This window comes from Homo sapiens, chromosome 14 (assembly GCF_000001405.40).
Source record: "Homo sapiens chromosome 14, GRCh38.p14 Primary Assembly".
Lineage (NCBI taxonomy): Eukaryota > Metazoa > Chordata > Mammalia > Primates > Hominidae > Homo > Homo sapiens.
In genome coordinates, this window is record NC_000014.9 from 33,054,342 (window position 1) to 33,079,304 (window position 24,963).

Below are 24,963 nucleotides of genomic sequence, written 5' to 3' on the forward strand. Positions count from 1 at the left end.
AATGGTTAATTATAAATAGAACTGTTGGCCTACAGAATTTAATGAGAGATTTGAGTATACATATACTTTATATATAAACTATGTATACTTTATATAGTTTGAATATAACACAGAGAATGTGTTTAAATAAAATCTTATTAATGCAGCTAAATAAAGTTCAAAAGTAGAACTTAAATTATTTGAAAGTATTGTCACTTAATATGTTGGGCTTTATGAAATATTAAGTAAACTTAAAAAATTAGAAACATAGAAATTAGAAAAAACTTATCTGAGTTTTTTTTTTTTTTTTGAGACGGTGTCTTGCTCTGTCACCCAGGCTGGAGTGCAGTGGCAGGATCTCAGCTCATTGCAAACTCTGCCTCCCAGATTCACACCATTCTCCTGCCTCAGCCTCCCAAGTAGCTGGGACTACAGGCGCCGACCACCACGCCCGGCTAATTTTTTGTATTTTTAGTAGAGATGGGGTTTCACCGTGTTAGCCAGGATGGTCTTGATCTCCTGACCTCGTGATCCGCCTGCCTCGGCCTCCCAAAGTGCTGTGATTACAGGCGTGAGCCACCGCACCTGGCCTTATCTGAGTTTTTATAAAGTAGCATGATCCATCACATGTTTTTAATTAATAATTAAGAAGATATTAAGTATCTACTGGCTTAGGGATTAGACATTATACTTTTCTAATATGCTGGTATTAGAGCGAAAGGATTGGTACTCGTACTGATATTGTGTATTGATTAAATGACATTACTTTCCTCTAAATTATGAAATGATAGATTCTTTAAATACTTTTTTCCCTGAATGAAGGGATTTTCAATAGAAGGAAATGGCCAGAAAACATCTCAGCATTTTTATGTCTATATAATGCAAGGAGTCTCAGATGAATTTATATGCTTAAGTAACACAGATGAAAATTGTGTAAGCTTTTTCCCCTTTTTGCCTTAACTGCCAAGAAACCTGGAGCCACTGTAATCAGTTCATCTCAGGTGCCTGTTAACATCTAACCCGTGTTCCCGACGGCCTTGCTTGTGTTTTCATCCCTAATTGGGTTTAGTTCTGTAAGCTGAATCGCATTCCTTTATAAGTCCATAGCAAACTCTATATAAATTGAATAGAGCTGAAAAATATATTAACTCGACCAAGGTTTTATAGCTAATTTACAGTTGCCTACAATAGTAATGCATGATTGAACTAATGACAGTCCTATAACAAAAACACTAATGACATTTGTTTTTAACATTTCCTTTAGAATATAATCATGGGAATTGAAGAGTGAGTTAAGGTTTAGACCTATGTCTCTTTTCTTCCACTTTTATGACTCTGAGATTTAAAAAAAAAAACAAAACAAAACTGTCCTGATAAAGAACTGAAAAAGTTGCTTTTCTCTGACTGCAGTTTTCTAAAAGTGGAAGTTAATGTTCTAAAATGTATGTACACATTGCAATTGTGTGTAGAGCTCAAAAGCGTAAAAAGCAAAATATATTGAATTTCAACATACTTGTTATCCTGCATTCCAGTTGACTGTAGAGAATCTCTAGTCATGTCTATCTGTTTTTGATGCCTCTACAGAATAACTGCCCAGCATCCTCTGCCCAACCAATCAGAATGTAGGAAAATCTACAGATATGACGGAATCTACTGTGAATCTACCTACCAGAAGTATGTTGAAATCTTTGTGAGTCTTCCTTCTGGCTCGTACATCAGTGCTTGTGGTTGCCAGCTATTCAAAAATATCCTTGTATTGAAACCTTCTTTTTATCTAATTTAGTGGGGGAGAAAAAAAAACAAAAAAACAAACCAACAAACCAAACCAAATAAAAACAACCAAAACAATTTGCCTCTGAGATCAAGACAGAAAAAAAATGTTTATTTTTTTGAAATTGTGGTCTAAAAGTTTTTTTTAACGACTGTATTAAAGCTCTTAGGTAAGCTTCTTTATATTGCAATAAACAAGTACTTATATGCAAGAAAATCTCGGCAAAATACATTGCACAGGTGCTACGCATCTTAGGGATTTGAAAGGTGTGTTATGTATAAATTAGCTGTCACTTTTTTTCAATCCTGTAATGGAATGATGAGTTGTAATTTGCATAATCCTTTAAGAAGTCAAATTATACTGTCATGTAGCAGACTTAACATGCTAGCTAAGATTTCAGAGCTTTGCAGCTAATTACTATGTACCTTACAGGACAGTTAAATTGAAGTTGAGTCCTCTGTCTTTGCTGCCATTTGCTTTGTCCATTACTTAACAGAATCTGCACTTTGGGTAACGAGGTGTTGTTACTATCACTGAAGTAAACACTCTGCTCTGGGAGGAAATGGCATTTTAATATATCATAGTTGGACTTGTATTGCTTTTGCTGTGAAGAAAGTTTTCTTCAAAAACAGTAATCCAATTGGAATCTTCCCCAAAAAAGATGAAATTTATGCTTTCCATAAAAGTTATGAAATATTGATTGAAGCAACATTAACCTTTAATTAAATTCTCCTATGGAAAATGGAAAGTAATGTAAACATAATTCCACTGAAGGCATTATGTTTTCTGGATATACTTTGCAAATATACTTTGTTGTGTTTTTGTCTTCACACTCTTAACTTCTTTTGTAGTAGTGTGACTATTGAACAATACCATTTTTTTCCTTAAAAAATCCTTTGTGAATGCAAGCTGGTGAGTCCTACTTTCATTTACTCCTCCAACTGGTTGTAGAGCACTTTCTTTCATGGTTTCCATTTTTAAAAAATCAGAAATTCTGGTGGCTGTGAAGGCTGCTCTCTGAAATAGACACAAAGTGGATACTGGATGGAGCTGGGACTGTTCCCTACCTAGCATGGTTTAGGTGACTGTATCACTGTATCTTTACTATATACATGTAGTTATCTCTGGCTTTATTTATTGATATTTCACTGTCTAGATAGTGTTACTAGTTTTATCCGAACTGGTATAATTATAATGCAGAATTGTTACTGATCATCATTTTAAAAAATTCTTTGTTATCTGTGAGTCATTTATTGTGGCTCTTGGTGGCCAGGTTTCTGTAATTTGTTAGTGATTTGTGGATTTGTTGTATACTTTGAAAAATCCTTTTGTTGTATAAGAAGAGGGTCCTTTAAGGACCAAATTAAAGCAGGATTTGATTACTGACCATTCAAATAAGTGCATATCAACAATCAACTGTTGTTTATTTTTAATTAAGTCAGTTTCACGTGTCTGAAATTACTGTTGGCTTAGAGGCTGAGATTTGTCAATTAGGAGCCCGGATGGGGCCACCAGGAATTTGGCGCATAGTAAGGCTTCCCTGCTAGCTGTAGGAATCATCTCAAGGGCTTGCTTTTTAAAGAATTGGTGTTATTTGTAGTCAAGGTAGACACAGTAGGCAGCACAGCTGTGACTGCCAGGGAAAGTCACTATGGGGATATTCATAACAAGGAAATATTGGCAAATAAATGATGAAGAAGGGGAGGAAATCCCCAAGATGTTGAATTGGAGTACTGTCACTGAGATGATTAATGGTGTTGTGTATTTTAGTGAAGATGCTTATCTGAATTGTCTTGAAACTATAGTGTACATTTAATAGCACCTATAAAAAAGCATGTGGTACACAAGCACACTGAAGAGAAAAGGCCGGGTATTCCGATTTTATCTTCCTATTTTCTCCAATTAAGTTTTTGGCTTCTGTTTATTAGAAAGCTGGTGTTAATATATATTATATAAGGAGTATGTTTATTCTATATATTTATTACTCATCAGCATTTATATAGCTACTTTCCCTAGAAGATTGAAATGTATTGTAAAAAAAAAAAACATGGATAGTATTGTAAAAAACATGGGTAGTTTTTCCACACTCTTGTTGGGTGAATATTATCAAGAGTAGGGAGATGTAGGCAAACAGTCAGGGTCACAGGGCTGCAGTGAGTAAAGGGCTACACTTTTATCAATGATGGAGTCAGTACAATTTTAAAAACATTTCTACATCAATTTCTGGTGAAGGGGTAACTGTTTTGGAAGATCCTCTAGCTTTCAGTGTCAAACCATAAATTTCCTGATTCTGTGGTGTGAATTATCACTTGCCTGGAGGGATTGTTATCCATGAAAGCAGGTGCATCTTTGGGCAAGTTACTTAATCTCCTTGGGCCTCAGTAATTACTAGTAGATATAGGAATAGATACAGACAAATGACATATCATCCAATCTTCAATGAGCTTATAGTCTATTACAGCGACGTTTTTCTAACTCTTGGTTACTATTCAAACAGTTGGATATGTATCCAATTTAGTGGATCAAGATCCTAATTTTAAAAATGAAATGGAAGAGAACAGAAAATTTTATTGTATTGCATTTCAGTAAGAATGTGTCTTATTTTGTGAGGCTCCCTTTTTAGTTTCATATTTGTGTATGTGTACATATAACTGCACATATGTGTTTACTGGGTAGATCATGAGGTAATATGTGTTTCTACTGTGTTTCATATCCAAAAAGAATGGAAGCCACTGTGATAGAGTTGAGTAGGTAAATGTATAAACAGAATAATATATAGGTGTTGTCACTTTGTGTTCAGGGTACACTGGATTATAAAGAAAGAAATGGTCAGTCTTATGAAAAGGGTTCAGGAATGAAGAGGCTACGCTGTTTGGTCTCTCATATTCAGGGATGTGCTAGAGCCAACTTGGATGGGTTTGTGAGAGTCAATTGTATGCACCTCTTTCTCACTTTGTTAGTTCTGGCCTCACGTTAGTAACTTGAAGTTGCAGAAAGTACTTGCACCATGGAAATTGGAAAATATTGCAATTCTGGTGCTCTCTAAGCCCCAAGTGATTGTTATACATGTACCAGCATGTCATTGCTCATATTTGTTCCAACTATAATTCTATGGTTTTATAATTATTTTGAATTACATATTTAAAGACATTATTTTCTATGTTGCATTTAGATTTTATTGGTAATTATTTAAATGATTAGACAATTGTTTCAATAATGAAAGTTTAAAACAAGCAGGAATATAAAACCTGTGATTATTTTAAAACGTCTATAATTAGTTCCAAATAATAGTAATAGTTACTCTAACTTCTGTTAAATGCTTATTATACTTTCAATTTAAAATTTCAAGTTTAATTGGTAAGATCAGGTTCTTTGGTAAAGGGTAGGTATATAGTGTTTTAAAAAATACACCTCATATTGTAAATATTTTACAAATTGTATCATTTTAAGTTAGGCAGTTATTTTGCTAAGTATTACAAATTTTGGGCCTCAGACCCCTCCTTTCCTTTTTAGTGGTCTTTTACAGTTTACAATAATGTCTGTGTTTTCGCAAACACATCTGTAAAGTAGTGGATTTCATCAGAAGATGCAAAAGTTCTTTTCAAATTAAAACAGTTGTCAATCTTATAAAAATATTTTCAAATACAAAAGTAAAAGTAGCATAGTCTAAAATAGGAGAAAAGACACCCCTTCCATACTAACTATAACTTTGAACTTTATTGTTTTTTATTTAGAGACAGGGTCTTGCTCTGTTGCCTAGGCAGTGGTGCAATCATAGCTCACTGCAGCCTCGAACTCCTGGGCTCAAGCTCCCAAGTAGCTAAGACTACAGGTGCATGCCCCCATGTCTGGCTTTTTTGTTTTGTTTTTAGTAGAGGACAAGGTCTTACTCTGTTACCCAGGCTGGTCTCGAACTCCTGGGCTCAAGCCATCCTCCCACCTCAGCCTCTAAAAGTACTGGATTCCTGGCCTGAACTTGAAAGAAAATATTGGGTAAGTCAGAGGAAATAAAATATTCATAGACATGAGATGGAATAGTAGTAGTAAGTTCAAAGGAAATCACCTATATTAAGAAGAATATGAGATAGTGAGGAAAGATAAGTAGGAAAGAGTCAACTGAGCTAGGTGTTTGTAGCTTCAAAACTTAAGTTGCAATTCAGCCATATAGTTGGACACTGCCATAGAGGGATTTGAGGAAGAGTGGGGTGTCTTTAAAGCCAAGAACAATCCGTTCACCCGTATTTAGAAAAGATGGAGTGAGTCTGAGATGGCAGTTTCAATTACTAACGTTTATTGAGCACATGCTATGCCATTGTAATAGGCATGGCAGTACCTATTTTAAACAACGAGGTTTAATCCAGGATTCCTAGACTCCAAGTGTAACCAAGATTGAGAAGCCCTGATTGAGAAGGTGTTTGTAATGGATTTAGACAGTTGTCATTGAAAGCAGAAGAGGCCATTGGCAAAATTGTAAAGTTTGTCTTTGTTTAGCTGTCTTTTCCATCCTTTGGAACCCCATCCTTTTCCAAGCCCCTTTTTCTCCTTTGTGAAATTCATTCCACCTGGATGCCTGGTTAGTGTTTCAAACCTGTGCCTCATCGGCACAGAGTTGTGATTGTCTATAGCCCTCATTGCAGATCAGGTGTTGTTAGCTGATGGTGTTACTGTTCTCAGGACGATTTGCCTTTTCATAAGCAACTCCAGGTGAACAAATTCAAGAAAATGGGTAGTTTTTTCCAACAGAATAATTTCAGACACCATGACAGGGCTTGGATAAATTCATATGGGGCTAGAGGAAAGTTTCTTTCTTCCTGAAAATACAAATCCAGAATGTGGGTACTCTACTCAGTATATAGTGTTAAGGCTGGCCTTGGCCAAGAAGCGTGGATTTGGATTCACAACCAAAAGAGGGAAGGAATTAACAAGTTCCAGGGAAGAGAAGAGGAGAATGAGTGAAGAAGGAGGGAACGTGCCAGTCTTTATCAGCTCTTTTGTACAAGACAGAGTGCTAACCACTTTCATGTGTTATCCCAATTAAGGCGAACAAGACAGGCGCCTTGTCAGGGATTCTGCTGGGGGGAGGATGGTCACCTATGCTGAAGAAAAGGGAAAGGTCACGGAGGCTCCAGCAGCAGGAGTGAATTCTTTTGCTGGTTGTTTAACCTGATTGACTGATTGCTATTATACAGTCATCTTCCCCTCACCTGCACAATAGAACAACTTATGCCAGTTGTGTTAGGATCAGTAAATAACAAAGGATTGAGAAAAGAGTTAGAAATATAAAATGACCTTCATAAAGAGCTCTAATGCTAAACATGTTAAACAGACATTGAACTTTGTAGCAAGAACTGCTTCAAGCCTTTCGATATCCAAATGAATTCTAATTTCCACATCATGCCTTTCAGACTTCAGCATGGTTTCTGGTGGTTTCTCCCAGTTAATTTTAGCATCACACGAATGCTTTTGCCTATAAATGACTTGAAGTAGCATATGTTGGTAATGTGGATGGCATGAAAGTGTATTATTTAGGGGTTATTCTAGACTAGCCTAGAAGTGAGTGAATTTATTCATTCATTTAACAAATATATTTTAATCATCACCCACGGGTCAGGTGCTTTTCTACACGAACTGTTCTACACTAACTGACTTATTCAGAGGTGACTAAGAAAACCTCTGCTCTCTAGAAGCCTAGAAGACTGAGATATCAATAAGTAATTGACATTCTGCCTGGAGCGGTGCCTCAGGAGAAATAAGTGTCAACTATGGAAGCAGCACCACAGAGGGGCCATTTTTAATAGTGCAGGGAGCCCAAGGTCTTCATGGTGGAGGAGGAGCTATCTGAGCTTGGGAGGGAACCCGAGGTAATGGTTTGGGCTAAAAGGCATTTCTGGTGTGGCAAATTGCAAAGGACACAGGCAGAAGTGGAGGGCTGGGGAACGGTGACAGGAGGTGAGGCTGGAGAGGAAGGGAGAGCAGAGGCCTCAGATCCCAGAGGACTGCCATCCTGGGAGAGCCCTGGCAGGAGTTTTCAGGAGTGTGACAGAGACTGCATCTTCGAGAAGAATTACCCTGGAGGTGGATTAGGCCTGAGGCTGCTGTGGGAGTGTTCCATAGCTTCCTCTCCTCTTCTTTGTTTCACAACTCTTGTAACTTGCTTTGCAAGAAGGAATGTGATCTCATTGTTCAATTCCCACCTATGAAAAAAAAAAGAAAAAAAAAAAGAAGGAATGTGAAATTGTGGTGTTTGTTAGTTTAAAGTTGTTTTTTATTGATAAATATCTTGAAGGACTCTCCCAATGTGAAATCCGGTTCAGGATCTGTCTGCAAACTCATTGCTTTTCCTGGCTTGAGGTGCCCACCTCTGCCTTTCTCCTCACAGACCACTTGTAATTCAAGATAAACGAATGCCAGAGAGTAAAAATGGATAGGCGCAGGCAGCATGATTTAGAATGAAAGAATATTAATTGGTTTCACCGGAGTGTATATTTTCATTATGAGAGAAGTGACTACCTAGATTTTAAAAAATAATTGGTTGGTGACACACCTGCAGTGTGCATGTGACCTCTAGAAACTTGAGAACGAAAGTAAAGGTCAAGATGAGAGGTGTAGCACCACAACGAGCCTTTTGTAGGCACGCTGTTGAACAGCGGCGTTCAAAAATCGCTAACAGGTGGTTTCAGAAAGTCAGTGATACTAATGTGCTTGTGTCCAGACTTTAGAAATACTACAGCAAACTTAAACTGTGGTTTCAGTAAATTCTCCTTACCTTATGAACAGCTTCTTCTGTGTATTGAGTTTACAAATGTGTCTTTAGTGAATCTTTGGACTTAGTTTATGCATTAGAGTATAATCATTATGCTTTGTTCTTTGACTATGAGCAAGCTATTTTAAACAATTAAGTCCATGCAGTAATGTTTAGTCATTGCTAGCGGTGGTTAAATCTCTTGGAAATGGATCTGGCTTTGATCCTAGCCCCACAATTATCTGTTACATGTGGGACAGTGACTAAGTTGCTTAACTTTAAGCTTCTGTTTGCTTATCTCTAAAAGTAGGGGCAAAACAATACCTCAGAGGTTGTTTTGAGGATGAATGTGATGATTAGGATGGTGATAATAATGAACATTACTGATCTTTTACCAGATGCCAACGTCAGGCACTGGGCTAATGGCTTAACATACATTTAAAAAAATCCTTACAATAAACTTATGCCTTAGGTATGATTATTACCACATTTTACAGATAAGGTAACAGAAGCTTACAGAGCTGACAGAACTAACTCAAGGTTAAGAAGGCAGGATGTGGTGGAATTAAGATTAGTATCAGCAAATTATGATCCACTAGCCACATCTACCCCCAACCCCCCAGTTTTTGTAAAGTTTTATTGGAACAAGGCCATACCCATTCATTTGTGGTGGAATTAGGATTAGTATCACTGAATTAGGGCCCATTAGCCAAATCTACCCCATCCCCCTCCATTTTTGTAAATACAATTTTATTGGAAAATATCCATAACCATTTAGGTATTATCTGTGACTCCGTTCCTGCTATAAGAGCATAGTTGATAGTAGTGACAGAGACCATATGGCCCACAAAGCTGCAAATATTTACAATCTGGCCATTTATAGAAGTTTGCTGACCTCCGCATTAGACCTCAGGCTATCTGACTTCAGAACCTAAGGTCTAAACCATAAAAACACTAATCATGGTGCTTGGCATATAGTAAACATACACTAAATGAGTACTACCTTGTTGCTCATCTAACTTACTATAGAACTGTTAACCTCGCAGAATTAGTATCTGCAAAATGGAAATAATAAGCATTCAACCGCCAGCAAGAAAAGTCATAATGACTATGGAGATGTTGAAGAACTTAAAGTTCCAAAAGGAACACACGCTGAATTATGTGTTATAGTTGTTGTTTATTACTATGCTTTATGTAATATAAATGAGAAATTCCATTTTCACACCAAAGTACAGTATTGCCTTAAAGGAGATCATTGTGAATTTTAGTGACTATTCAGGATATCTATTAAAAGAAATTAATTTCATACATGAGAAAATTTTATAATTTTAGGAAATTTAAAAAGTATAATTTTCCTTATGAAAAATACATATTATCAAAAAAACTTACAGTATTATGATCTGTATTATTTAAAAAGTATATAAGCAGTATCTTTACAATAAGAAAAATATGCAGCAAGACATCTCTTTTAATGAGAAGATAAACAATTAATATACCTCCCTTAATTGTCCTACCAGCAACAAAGGAACGAAATTATGGTTTCCACTTTACCCTACTCATAACTTTTATTTCCATATGTTTTTCTGTTGATTTAGGGAATTCCCTGTCCTCTGCTCTGTAAATGGCCTTGGATTTGTGTTACCTTGGAGCTCACAGAGCAGGCTTTGGTGGGCCTTCAACTTGTGTTGAGGGAATATTCTTGGAATTTCTTTCACCAGGCCCAATGTCATGTTTCTGGGTTGGTGAGTGGTGGGCGGGGAGGGGGAGTAGTCGTAGATTAGTTACCTCATGACGTTTATCCTCTTCCCTTGCAAAAGCTCTTTTTGAATAGAGATGCAGTACATTTTCATTCTGGAACACTTAGAAAACACAGGTAAGCATAAAGAAAGAACATCAATGTTTTTGTAATTGTCCTACCCACAGATCACCACTGTTAACAATTTGGTGGCTATCCTTGTAGTCTTCTATACAATGGTGTGTGTTTCTATGAATAACACTTTTTATAGATGTATATCCATGTATATAGGTATTTTCTTGTGAATCCATACACACCTGACTCGGCTGGGAAATGTCTGGGACGAGGTGTTCTAATTTGTATATGAGCAGCTTATTTGGGGGAAGCTGGAAGCTACATGGTCAGTTTCCATAGAGAAACTGTTCCACAGAGATTTCCTTTTTGATGTGACACTTATATTTTTCCTGGTGTTGAAATTCAGGATTTTTAGCACTTTTGTTTTCAAAAGAATTTGTTTGAATTTAAATTCAAGCGAGAACTAGTGATATACTCATTAGTGATAGGATTTTCAGCAGACAAATCTTTCCGTACCACCTTAATATTTATTTTTATCTAGACATAGTACACATTTAAATGTGGAAATAGTTTTGCAGTTATAGAACGAAGCTAGTGGTGAGAAAGGTGTGGTGAGAAGGGTATGGTGGGTTAAAGAAACATACGGCTTTTTTAGGTCAGATACATCCATGTATGAAAAGTTAAACGATTAGATGGAGTTTTCTGGTTGCTTTCCAAACTCATCCTGTCACATATTATGTCTGCTGCATTATCCTCTAGGTTGCTTAAAAATAATTTTATTTACTGTGTTTAGTATTGAGATGTTTAGGTCCAGTTCTTAAAGCAGAGAGAGGGCTGGGTCCTTCGAGGATTTTGGTTTAGTGACCAGCATGCAACGGAAGCATTGTTGGGTTATTTTTTCATTGGCAAATTTGAGACGTTGTGATTCGTATATCAATTTGAGAATTCTTTGGAATTGGGTGCTTGGGATTTATGTGGTTAAATAGACTATCACCACATCTTATTTAAATCCTAATTTCCCTGTCCCTCCCTCAAGCCAGTTATAAAGGATCTCTGGGCCTTGCTCTTTGCTTGTTCTCATGTGTTACCAATGAGAAGAGGCCTATTTCTCTTACTAGCAATTCCCATTACTTGCATTTCAACCATCATAAGCTTTCATAACAGCATCATTTTCCTGACTATTGCCTGTCAGGGGTGCTTACAGTGAATCACAGCCAACTGCATGCCTTGGCCTTGACACTGGAAGGTATACAGTCTTTTTGATGATTCTTCTCTTTGCTTCCTCTCTTCAACTCCACTTGAAAAACTGTTTTAGGAGTAAAATTGAATGAGCATGGCTTGGTTGGGCACAAAGCATCCTGTCCTGTGTGCTTGAGGCACCATCTGGATGTCTTGGTGAAGAATATATTTTATGTAGTTGTAGGGGAGATCCTTGTTCACTTCCAGGGGAAGCAGCATGCTTTTCCAGAGACTCCCTTAACTGCCTGATGGCTCACAAGCAGAAAATGAGAAGCAGCAGCTCGGCTTCTCATCCCCTGGAGAAATTCATCAGGTGTTCTAAGTCTTGAATTGCTATCAGTGAAAACAATGGTATTCATGGCACCACCCTTTTAAAAGGAGAGGTTTGGAGAAACATCCAGCGGAGATGAGGATGGAAGGTCGAGGGCATTCCTGAACTCTTGTAAAATTCATGGTCAATACATTCATCTGATAGCAAGATTGTTTACCCTCTGTTCTGAATGCTGCTTGCCCAGAGGTAGTAACAATTTATATGATGCTTGTAGGAATAAAGAATGTTGTGTTTTTTATTTTTTAATTTATCATGGTACTTGGGAAATGCCTCAGGGAAGAGAAGACTAGAAAACTAAAATTATGGGCCAGCAGATTTTAAGTAGAGTATGTTTTTACAAGAGTCTGGTGGCAAGTTTGGTTCACTTGTACCACAAATACCTTTATTGGGTCTGTTCAGGAGAAATTTGCAGGACATAAATGTTTGCTGTGGTACAGAGTGTCCTGAGAATGCAAGACTCTGAAACAGAGACAGGAGAATGACTATAGCCACATTTATTCTGCCGTCAAAAGGAAACATTCTTTGATGCCAGGGCCTTTTATTGTGAGGCTAAGTTGATCCTTCTGGGACAACAGAAGCATTAACTCATGACGGTGAAGTTACCTTTCAGGGGCCCCATTCCTACTTCTGTGTTGGCTGGTTTTCTATGTGCAATAATGCATAGACTGCATAGGCTGCAGTAATTGATACGGCTGAAATCCGGAGAAAAGGAAAGAACATGCTCCAAATATGGGGTGCTGTGGTCTTCAAGCATTATTGTAATTGACCCAAGCAACCATGTTTGAAATAGACAATATTATTCTGAGTTTGCACTCGAGACAGTGGAAGCTCAGAGAGGTCAGGCACATTGCTCAGTTCACACAGCTAATGAGGTGCAATCTGGTAACTAACTATTGGAGACCCTCTCCGGTCTGTGTGGCCCAGCACTTCTTCCCTTTTCAACTGGATGACAGGGTCCCTTGGAGCAGGATGACACTTTACCTTAGAAAAACATCCATCCTCTATTTGAGGATGGTCTGTTGAAATCTATTTCTGCAAAAGAAGAAGACCCTAAGGAACTTGAAGCCATGCCCATAGAAAAATTGAGGTTTGCCATATTTGAACATCAGTCATTTAAAGAACACACAACCAGTGTCCTGTGAGTGTAAAGCTGTGTACTCTCCAGCATGGGACAATTAGGTCTCCCCCTTGGGGATTTCATCTGTCCTTACACTGTGGTTATCACATAGAAATGGATGAATGTCAACTTTTAATCTTAAGCCCTCTTTCCAAACTCTAGTTTTCTATTTTCAAACTACTTGACCTTTGCATTGTTTCACCTCACAACAATCTCCACATGTAATGACCAACAAGCTTGTAAGCACTCCCATGAGCATTCCCAATTAATCCTCAAAGCAACCTAGTGAACTGTGTTTTGTCTGTTTTACATGGAGAAAAACAAAAACAAGCCCTTGTATTACAGAGGTTAAGTGATTCCAAGTATTTCACACAGCTCGGGTGTAACATGGCTGGCCCACAGATTAAGACCTCTTTCATCTCCCAGTTTAGGGCCTTCTCCAGGACAGTGCCACCATTACTCCAAAATAGAACTTGGGGTCTTCCCCAGAAAGATCCTCTCCTACCTTGCACTTCTTTTGCTTTATCTTCATTTATATAGTAATTCAGTCTCATTCTTGACATTATCTTTTATTCTGCCTCTCTCTTGTCTCAAATATTCTTTTAGTAGCATATTTTCTTTTAAAACTTCCCTTCTTTTCACATCCCCTTAATTCAAGCTATTATTTCAGCCTAGATTGTTGCAGTCTCCTAACTAGTGTTCTTATCTCCTATCTTACTCAGTTTGGTTCAGATAAATACTTGAGTCCTGCTCTATGCAAAGCACCATGCTAGGGAATGCAAAGATTTTCCTTTCTGGGCTGCTTCATAAATAGTTACCAGATTGAAATACTGTTTCTAACATATTTTCCTGCTCAAAATCACTGACTGCTCCATCTCACGTCAAGCTGTCTGTAATCTTAGCTTAGTGTTTAAAACTTACCAGTGTAGCTCCATTCTGCCTTTCAGCCTCCCTATAACACCAGACATTTCTTAGCGCGAGTTCTGTGCTCTGTCCATGAAACATTTCCATTCATTCTTGTTAGGCACAACACATGCACTAAGTCCCTGCCTTTGCTTGCTCCTTTGTAAAGTCTTTCTAACCTTGTTTTATCCACAGTGGTTTCTCTCTTCTCTTAACACATTAATTGAGTACCTTCTATAACCAGGAACTATTGATTGGTATATATCAGTGGACAAAGGCCATAATCTTTGTTCTCAAAGTTGGATGATTCTCAAAGTTGGATGGCATTAGAAACAGCCACTAAACAGCAGATGTTAAAAATGAAGGAAATCATATAGTCTGTTACATGGCAGTCAGTGCAGTGGAACAAAAATACAGAAGGTTAAGAAGGATTTAGGAGTCCTGGGGTAGAAGTGAGTCATTGTGGTTATAATAGATGGTGACCATTAAAAGAAAGATGACATTTGAGCAATGACTGTAAGGAAGTGAGGGAGTTAGGCATTCACATAGCCAGGCGAAAACATTCCAGGTAGAATGGACAACCACTACAAAGGCGCTGAAGGGTTCCTAATGTGTTCAAAGCACACCAGGGAGGCCAGTGTGGTGGGGGCTGAATGAGCAAGGAGGACAGTGGCAGGAGACAGGTCAGGGAGGCAACAGCACACGGGATGCTGGCGGGCCAGGGAGGGACTTCGGCTTTTGTTCCACTCGAAACAGAGTCTTGGGAGGATTATGAATTGAGGAGAAATGAGACCTAACTGATTTTAGTATCAGTCTAGTTACTGGCTGAGCATATGCTTCAGGGGGCTGAGGGTGGAAGCAGGGGACTTAGCTCAGAGGCTATCAGCATAATCAAGGTGTGATTTGTACCAAGACGAAGTGGATAAAGAAGAGAGAGAGAAGTCGATATTGAATCCAAGATTAAATACTAATGTATCATTGACTTTGTATTCCATGTGGTGGCACTCAATCACATGTATGCAAATAAGTACCTTTCCCTCGTAAACTTAGAGATGAAGCATGACAAAAACTTATAAAAGTTAAATGGTAAGAGGCTATGTGTATGTACGGATAATATCTTCTCAATAACATTGCAAGTTCCTTAGAGATATTTATTCATTTATTCAGTCCACAAACTTTTAAAAAGGTACTCGTTAAAGGCCAATGATTGCCTTGCATTTGAGCAGTGCGGAATGCAATAGGAGAATGTCAGTGTGGTGGGTAAGTGTGCAGGCTATGATGGAGACGGATGTATTCAAACCCTAGTTCCATTACTTATTTGCTGGGTGATCTTGAACAAGTTACTTAAGCTGCCTGTTTCCCACCTTTCTCATTTGCGAAATGCTGATGATAGTATCTCATAGGATTTTCTCTTAGGATTTTCCATAGGGATTAAATGAACTAATACATGTAAAATGCTTAGAAAAATGCTTCCCCTGGAAGTGCATACTAAGTACTCAACTACTAACTCAAAAAAGTTAGTGCTGTGGAAAAAATAGCTAAAAGAGGATTTAACATTTAGAGTGACTTTTCACCCCTGTAACTACCCATGTTCAAAACCTGTCAAGTTACCTGGTTAATGAATGTGAATAATAAGGTCTCATAGTAAGCCTTGTTCTCTAGTTGATAGTTTAAAAATGACAGAGAATTGCATTGTGATTAGTCTGATTACGTGCCTCTTTTTGAAGGTGGACATGGAAGCTGGTCAGTAACCCTTCTGGGCACATTTTGATTGACAGACTGGCAAACAGCATTTAAATCTCTAACACATAAAAAAGATCAATGTTTTCTTATTATTTTTTAGCTTAAAATGTTGAATGTGTATTAAAATGAGAAAAATAATTTTCAGGATAGATATGACTCCTAGTACATAAAAGCAAGGAGATCACATCAAGGAGGGAATATTATTTTTTTGACCAAATACAGGAAATTACTCCTCCTTGTTTATATTATATTTATAAAATTCTCCTCCATGTTTATATTTTGCTACCTAATATCTCCTTTCTTTTTTTTTCTTTCATGTAGTTGTTGTTTTTTTCATCCCTCTTATTATCAGCAACTATATGGCCTCCAAATCCAGGAAAGAGCAGTGCATTGCTACTGTGGAACTCATGCGGACATCTTTAGTGTCAGAGGTAGTTTGAAGAGCAGCTTAATTCTGCTTTCATTGTGCCTGGTACTTCTGTGAGGCACTCAGGTTCTGTCTGAGCTCAGTATTACTGATCCCATCCTATACGTCCTAGATGGCAGTGCAGACAGTGGCTGTCAATGAGTAACAGGTAAATATTGAACAGGGAAGCCCTTTTGATTAACTTTGTGGATCATTGTTTGAAAGTAGCGTACAGTCAGAACAGCACCATCACTCATGATCATAGCACATGGCGTAGGGGTCAGAGCACCAAGCTGCTGGTTTGAAAGCTGAGATTGCATTCTTTGTTCTACACATGGGCCTGTATTCATGTACTGCTGGACTAGTTACAACTATCCAGTGAACAAAATGCTGACTGTTTAGCACAATATTCATGCAAAATATTTAAGATGGTAAGGCACAAAGAATGCTTGAGGGACTTTGTGCGACATAGGTATAAATATGTTAAAGCGTGTTTATAATTGCTTTTTGAAGGGTTTAACACTGGGTGCTTTTACCTTTTTATCCAGGTTCAGAAACCTTTTTCTAATAAGGAACTTAGAGATGTGTGGCAGGTTGAGGATAAATTTTTGCTCTTATTAGTATGTACTGAAAATAAGTAATTTTAGCCTCTATCAGTTTTCCTAGGTTTGTTCTACGCTACCTATGGGTACAACTTACCCCCATGACACATTTACCCAGGAGGTTGGTCCATACCTGATTTGTCAAGTGATTCATTGAACCTCATGATAAGTTAATGGTTTATCATCATTAGGAACAATACTATTATCATCATGATTAATATTTTTGAGCAACCATCAAATAATATGCATGGAACTTGTTAAAAGGCATAAATGAGGTTGCATGGAAAAGAACAGCTTTCTGTTCTCAAATATTTCTAAATAACACTTACATGGTCATAAAAAGGCACAGATAAAACATGATTACGCTGCTTATGCATTTCTAGGAGAAACTTAATTCAGTAGTCAAGTAGGCAATTCCAAAACGTTTTCATAAGCCAAAGATTTTAAGTAAATCTTTTAATTGAGACTTTTAATCATACCGAGCTATAGAAATAATATTCAGATAATTATGTTCAATAATTAAGATCATCAAAACAACTAATCATTAAGATTATTAAAACAAAGCTAATCTACATCCTTCCTACCCATATTCTAGAGCAGTGGGTAAAAAGGTAAGCATTTTATGGCACTTTAAATATATAATTGCAACATTTACTGTTTAGCATATACGAACCACAAAAGTGACAAAATCTATATCCAGTGTGCTGGATAAGGTCTTAATTTTATGTATCACTTAAGTGTTAAATTTATACAACCTAGTCAAAGTGGTAACAGCCCCACAATAAAGAATAATAATTTTATTCTGGAAAATTATTCAAATGAAAAAATACAAAGTAGTCATGCTAGTTAGAGCTGTAAATGACATGTTTCCATCAAATTTCTGAAGAAGAGATTCTGTGTTTTTTTTCTTTTCTTTCTTTTTTTGAGATGGAGTCTTGCTCCGTCACCCAGGCTAGAGGGCATTGGTGCAACCTCAGCTCACTGCAATCTCCGCCTCCCAGGTTCAAGCAATTCTCTTGACTCAGCCTCCCCAGTAGCTGAGATTACAGATGTGCACCACCACGCCCAGCTAATTTTTGTACTTTTAGTAGAGATGGGGTTTCACCAAGTTGGACAGTCTGGTCTCAAACTCCTGATCTCAGGTGATCCGCCTGCCTCGGTCTCCTAAAGTGCTGGGATTACAGGCGTGAGCCACTGCGCCTGGCCAGATTCTGTGTTTTTAAAAGTGTCAACTTTGCTTTTAAATAACGGTGGCAAATAGCAATATTCTTTCTTTTAATAATATTCTAGACTAATTTATGGGAACCACACTTCCTTTGGAAAAGGACGTGATTTAAAATTTCATTTAGAAAACAACTTCAGTTGTTCTAGTATTATCACAGAGCAGTGTATTAGAAATCACTGTATTATATTTTGAAATTTAGATCAACCTATAATATGAACACGAAAAACATAAACATGAAAATGTAATTTAACAAAGGTGAATTTTTCTTTACGATAGAAATACACTGAAAGCTTTTGCCAGTTAAAGAACAGCGTGGGCTACTGTCCTTGCCTCTTTCCCTAGGGAACCCAGGATCTAATCTGGATTAGATTCCAAATGAACATGTGTTAGGTGGTCCCATCATAACCCTGAATGGATATTTTGCTACACCACAAAACTAGAACATAATTTGACATAAATCTTTGTTTAGAAGCGAAATAGCAGGGGATGCTGTGGGTCAGGGTGGAACTGGCAGGGCTGCGTGGGAACCTGCCCACATAGCCTGGTGTCTAGCAGAGCTGGCACTTTTAGGCCTTTGGTTTCCTTGAAATTATAGGTAATGAATTTAACATCTAGTCTCTCTTTCTCTGGGACAGTAACCTTGGTACATAGTGTTCTTTCATGTCGACTTGTGACCCATATTTTTGGTATTTCATTTATAAGAAAAATATACATATATATAATTTTTAAAGTTGCCTAATAATTGCCACAACTTAAAAAAAATTTTTTTACTTTATTATGTTTGTACCCTAACAGAAAATAGAATGGGTTAGGCAAGCATTATTTAAATGATGGTGATGCCATCACTGCTGGGTTTTAATATTCCATTTTAATCACTGGGCAAATTGGTCGTGTTTTATTTGGGGAAAATGGAATATGTTGAGGGAGGATGTGGTCATTTTGAAAGTCATTTGGTTTAGTTCAGGAACAAACACTCATTTATCAAGGAAATATTTATTGTCTCCTTTTGGGAAAGTGTAGGCATCCTCAGTCTCAAAGAAGTTGCATGCCAGTGGGGCAATGAGGCATATAATTTATTGATTTAATAAATATTTAGTGAATGCCTACTAAGTTCCAGTTCCTATAGCATAGAGTTTATATTAAATTGAGGGGAGCAGACATTATGCAGATACATGTGGAGTTAAAAAGGTAGAACTCTATAGTATACAGTAAATTAAATCAGGGCAAGGAGATAGAGGGTGGCAAGTGCTTTTTATACAAGATGGGACAGGTGAAGTGCCTTAAGAAGTGCCTAAGTTTTTCAGTTCTGTACAAGTCCAGAGAGCAAACTTATTTGTGGCTGTCGAGAATTGAGGGTCTCTTCTTGGAAAGTTGGAACTTAAAGCTGGCCCGTGAATGAACAAGGTAATGAACAAGCCACGTCTGTACATGACAAACAAAAGATGGAAACAATTTCTATTCAGGATTGACTAGAAAGGGTTTAGGCATACGGAGTCTTGAAGAAGAAAAGAGGAATTTGATTTCGACATTTTATTTAGTTTCAATATACTGAAGTATTTGGGCCAAAGAATAATGGAATGTGTGGGATTTTTGTAACCTCTGTGTTTGCATGGAGTGGATGAGAGAGAGAGGCCAGCTTACAGGCTTTTGTGATAATCATAAAGTGAGGAGACTATATAAATTTTTTATCTGCACAGGCATAGATTGTTTCGTGTTTTATTTTTAAGGGCTGTTGTGTGAACATGGGGTGGGGTAGAGGCATCATGTCATCTCCTGACTTGTGAAAGTGATTTGCTGACTGGAAAGTTTGAGGACCACTGTTCTAGTCCCAGTATGCTGGCTGTGGTTTATGTGATTACCTACATGCTTCAACAGGATTCAATCAGGAAATACTTTTTAAAATTATATTTATTGATAGAGCACCAAGAAGAACTTATGAGATAGTGAACATTGTTGGGCTGGAATAGGCAGCCAGAAATGTTTCTGCAGATGGATTATTATAAGAAATGGCCAACATTTAATTCATATCCTACTATATAGGAAACAAATACATGTTAATGTTATAGGATAGGTATATATAACATAAGCTAGTGATATCAAACAGATGAATTTAAAGTTTGTATTTGTTAGTGAATGCTGCCTGTGCATTAAGGTACCAATCAGACATGACACATGCATGTTGTGGGTGATGGTGCAGGGATAACACATTCTTTCTTTCTTTTTTTGAGACGGAGTCTTGCTCTGTCACCCAGGCTGGAGGGCAGTGGCATGATCTCGGCTCACTACAACCTCCGCCTCCCAGGTTCAAGCGATTCTCCTGCCTCAGCCTCTTGAGTAGCTGGGATTACAGGTGCATGCCACCATGCCCAGCTAATTTTTGTATTTTTAGTAGAGATGGGATTTCACCATGTTGGCCAGGCTGATGTGGAACTCCCTATCTCAGGTGATCTGCCCACCTTCGCCTCCCAGTGTTCTGGGATTACAGGTGTGAGCCACGCGCTCGGCCAACACTTTCTTTCTTAAAGGCAGATCCCATCGCTACATGGGAATAGCTACGTAAATGTGTTTGCTAAAAGCAGAACCAACTTCTGTGATTAGTATGCATTTTCTGCTAGTTACCATATTGAGAAGAGGTGTTTCATAACATTTTTCTGAACTGTTCATTATGAACTACAAGATTCACACTCTTATTAACCTGATTTCTACCTCCATTAGATGATACAGAGGAAGAAAAATAAATCCTATTTTAGTCATCATTTCCTTAGAACTTGTAATTGAAATACTATATTTTCTGCTTCAGTATATAAGCTCTTCTTGAAAGGTGTTCCATTGTATAGAAAGTAGATTTTTATCTTTTAAATCATAAGAGTATGTTGAATATTGTAACACCAGAATCTCAGCATCAACCCAGTTTTTGTAGGAATTCTGACTTAAACAATTTAAGGTCTTACAAGTGAGGTTCACACTTACTATACTTATTGTTACAAATAATGTTTGATTTCTTAAAAATATCTTGGTTAACAGGATTTTCTTAGGGTCCCTCTATATTTTTCGTCATGTTAGGTGACTATAAATAATATGAGCATGAGTATCCTGAAATGTAAGCGGATTCTATTATTAGCAATGTGTTAAGTATCTTAGCTTGCATCATTTAAAAACGTTTCAGTTATTTTTGCAATTTATATTTTATTTTTCATTTCACATCTATTGTACCATTAAAGTTCTTCATGATGTTTGTTTATAAAGTAAGTCCTACATATGCTGCGTTTTCTCTCTTATATTAACTGATAAAGCTGATATTACCAAAGCATAACTAGTACTTGATTCTCTTGAGATTAGCAGTGTTGTTGGCCTGGCTGGCAGTTATCTGCAAGTTGCTAGAACACATTTTATAGCAGCTTCTATTAGTCAACAGAAACGCTTAGAAAACTGCCTCCTGTATGCTTCGTATTAGGCCATTGAGCTGGCAAAAGAGGGAGAACTTAAAATTGTAATTTAACTTCTTTAAAATATTTGTTTAGGGAGATAGTCATATAATGAATTTTCATAAATAATGTTAAAATTTAGGAAATCTTCAGTAAACTGTATTTTCTGAGTCCATAAGAATATGTAGTTTAAGTTCTAACATTTTAAGATTTGGTTTCATATTTTGTTCATTGGTAGGATTGGAGATTGGATTATATTAAAAAATTAAACTGTTTTTAGATCATTCTCAATTCTATGTGTCTGTTTTTATAACAATTAGAATTGGCCTTTAAAATTCTTACCCACTGATATCATAATACAATTTTTGTAAATAATATGTATTTTTGCATTTTCCATCATTATTTATCACCAGGCTTGAAGTAGTATTAAGAAAAAAACCCATCTTGTATTTCTATCTTGACCTTTCCCTCAGCCCTCTCACAAAACCTGAAAACACGGGTCTTTATTTTTTATGCTCAAATTTATAATAAACAAAGGTTGATAAGGAAAAACAAGACCTCACACCCCAAAGAAAAAGGACAGGAGGGTCGTGGAATTGCTTAGCGTGTTGCATGGGAAATTCTGTGTAAGGAAGTAAAGAGCTTTTTGCTGAAAAGCCACCTAGAGCCCTTGGGCAGGGGCATTTTATTTTCCCATAGATACCATGTTACCAATTACATAAAGAAGAGTATAGACTTCTTGTTAGTTGATAAATAGAGATTGCAATCATTTATTAGGTTATTTTATGGTATTTGTTAACGATATTTACCTTCCTAAATTGATTCAGCATAATCCTTAGAACAGCTTTCCTTCATTTCTGGAAGACATATAGATAATGTGGTACTTATATGAAAGCTTACATGTCACTGAAAAACTGTGATTTTTGCCTTAGCTCAACGGAGCAGCAAGATTATATTAACATAGACTTTGGGCCATTTGAGTTCCCATAGGGTATAGAGTGTAGCTGATATGACATGACTTGCCTCCAACAGTTGTTTTAACAAGATATCCTTCATATACAGTATATTGAGCTGAAAGGCATAACTGAGTAATGTTAGCAAGAAACACTGTTGGCAAAATGCTTGACTTTCATCTTTATCTGATTAATCCAAAGCAATGTGTTAGTACAAAAAAGTATTTTCAGCTGAATATATATGACAGAATATTTATTTCTTTTTAATGTCTATAACTTTACAAGAACTATTTTTGGTGTGTGATATTTTTATTCTACAAAAAGTTTTTCTATATCCATTACAAAGGGCAAGTAGAAAAATATCCAGGACTTTGTGAGGCTTGATGAGGCTTATTCATTTGTATAAAGATTTGTTGAGCACCTACCAGGTACCAGGCAACATCCTAGGCATCGTGGGGATACAACAGTGGGTGAAACGGGCAAAGGTATGGGCCCTTGTGGTGTTTACTGTCCTGTGGAGGTAGCAGGCACTAAACAAATAGGTCAATTATAGAATACCTAAAAAGGTGATAAGTACTACAGAGATAACAATAAACAGGAAAGTGGGCTAGGAAGACCTAGAGGTGGGGTCAGGTTTGCAATTCAAAATGGGGTGGTCAGAAGAGGTCTTGCTGAAAGGGTGACAATGAGCATAGTTGTGAAGGAGATGTGGGAGTGAGCTATGTGGATACCTTGATTTCCTTTTGGAAATTATTAGTTCCTGTCAGCTGACTGTATTGCCAGTGCTTGCTCTCTCCAGGAATGCTCTTTCCTGTTTCCTGTGTTTAAATTTTCTCTGTAATGCCTTATATTCTATTTTATATTCTACTTTGTTGGAGGAGGAATGTATTTGACAGAGCAGTGAGCTCATTGGATGAAAGGTTCTGTGAATTTCTTTTAACAAAGCATAAAATCAAGCTTCCATAAATACTCCAAATTGCACCGTATCAAGAATTTGTTTTTTGTAAATGTTTGAAAGTGTAAAAGAAAGCTTTTGCACTCTAAAAATGGTATTTTTACTAATTTACTAATTAACACTTTTCTTCTGCTTAGCACTTTCAAGACTTGATTTAATTACAGTTTCTAGTACCTTAAATAGTGTTTTAAAGTGAGTCAGTGTTGCTTTGCTCAAAACATTGCAGTAAGGGTTTTTTTTTTTTTTTGCCCCTTTTGGCTTCAATTTATATGAAATAGATTTTTTATTTTCCCTGCCAGAATTCTCATTGAAAATACATATATGACCGGGTGCAGTGGCTCACGCCTGTAATCCTCGCATTTTGGGAAGCTGATTGCCTGAGCTCAGGAGTTCGAGACCAGCCTGGGCAACATGGTGAAACCCCGTCTCTACTAAAAATACGAAAAATTAGTTGGGCGTGGTGGCGCATGCCTATAGTCCCAGCTACTCCAGAGGCTGAGGCAGGAGAATCGCCTGAACCCGGGAAGTGGAGGCTGCAGTAAGCTGAGATCGCGCCACTGCACTCCAGCCTGGGCAACAGAGCAAGACTGTTTCCAAAAAAAATAAATAAATAAACAAACATAAAAATAAAAAAAAGAAAAAGAAAATACATATAGTTCTATTACTTGCCTGACGGAACTGCGGACAATCAGGGATATATTAGATGGGTATTTGTTTCACAGACCCAATGATAGAGTTAATTGAACACATTTTCCTTCGTAATACCCAAGTATTTCTGGTTTGATTCTGGGCTTAGAAATAAAATGGAAGAAGCTCCAATTCTCTTCTTTATTCTGGGTTTGGAGAATGCATTTAAATTGGCTTCCAAAATATTGAGAAGATTCCTCCCCTGGAGAGGTGCCTACATCACCATCTATGGTAATGTCAGAGCAATGAATCAATTAGATTTGTTTGGTAATGTATACATTAATGTCTTACAAAAACAAAACCAAAAAAAAAAAAACAAACAAAAAAACCCACATGTGAACCACAGATTTCCAAAAACAGTAGAAAGTCAGGTATCAGTTAAGAAAGAGATTGAAGAGTTAGATTTTTAAGTAGAGCATTTTTCTCTTAGAATGAAATAACCTTAGAGTAACACAATTGATGTAATATTAAGTCTATTCATATTTAAGATTGGGTAGAAGAAATTCTTGGAGAGCAAACTATTCTCAGTATTGCTTCCTTCCTGGCAGAATTCACATAGAAATAGGGGTAGAGAGTTTCTTGCTGACACAGGTGTGCAGTTTCACATTTCTTATGTTGCTTAAACCAGTAAAGTTTTAGAAAATGAAATTATTTTAGAATAAGAATTTATTTTACAGAGTTAAATAGATTTAATATCAGAAAATAATTGAGAATCACTAATATTTTCAGTGAATTATATGACATATCTGGAATTACATTCCCCAAAGTAAATGCATAACTGCTGTTTTGCTGGTAATAGTTGACTTCCCTGAGTCTCAAACCCCAATTTGCCTGTGCTAATAATTGTGCATGCATGTTCAGACAAATCATACTCAGAGATGCTTCAGATGGCTTTCTTCTGTGTCCATTTTGGGGTTATTTTCAGTACCATTTTTCATTGAAGGGAGAAATAGCTGTTTATACAGAAGATGCCTTCCTTTTATTACCATCTTTCCTCCTCCATGTAGAACTCTTTCTCTCTCTCTGTCTTCCATACAGATACCTCATGTATACATATATTTTCAAGGTTCACTTG

The 24,963-nt window shown here is 37.1% G+C and overlaps 1 protein-coding gene across 17 annotated transcripts in view; it reads left to right on the forward strand.

Annotated features, from left to right (window-relative positions):
- The window catches only part of NPAS3 (neuronal PAS domain protein 3), an 869,389-nt gene that overhangs the window by 119,557 nt on the left and 724,869 nt on the right, over nt 1-24,963 (forward strand). For 9 of the 17 annotated variants that reach the window (XM_017021582.2, XM_017021583.2, XM_047431678.1 and 6 more), the window contains exon 2: nt 1,564-1,653. The exons of the other annotated variants lie outside the window; for them this stretch is intronic. In XM_017021582.2, coding sequence (XP_016877071.1) covers nt 1,564-1,653 — 90 coding nt within the window. The remainder of the gene's footprint in view (nt 1-1,563; nt 1,654-24,963) is intronic. 17 annotated transcript variants of the gene reach the window in all.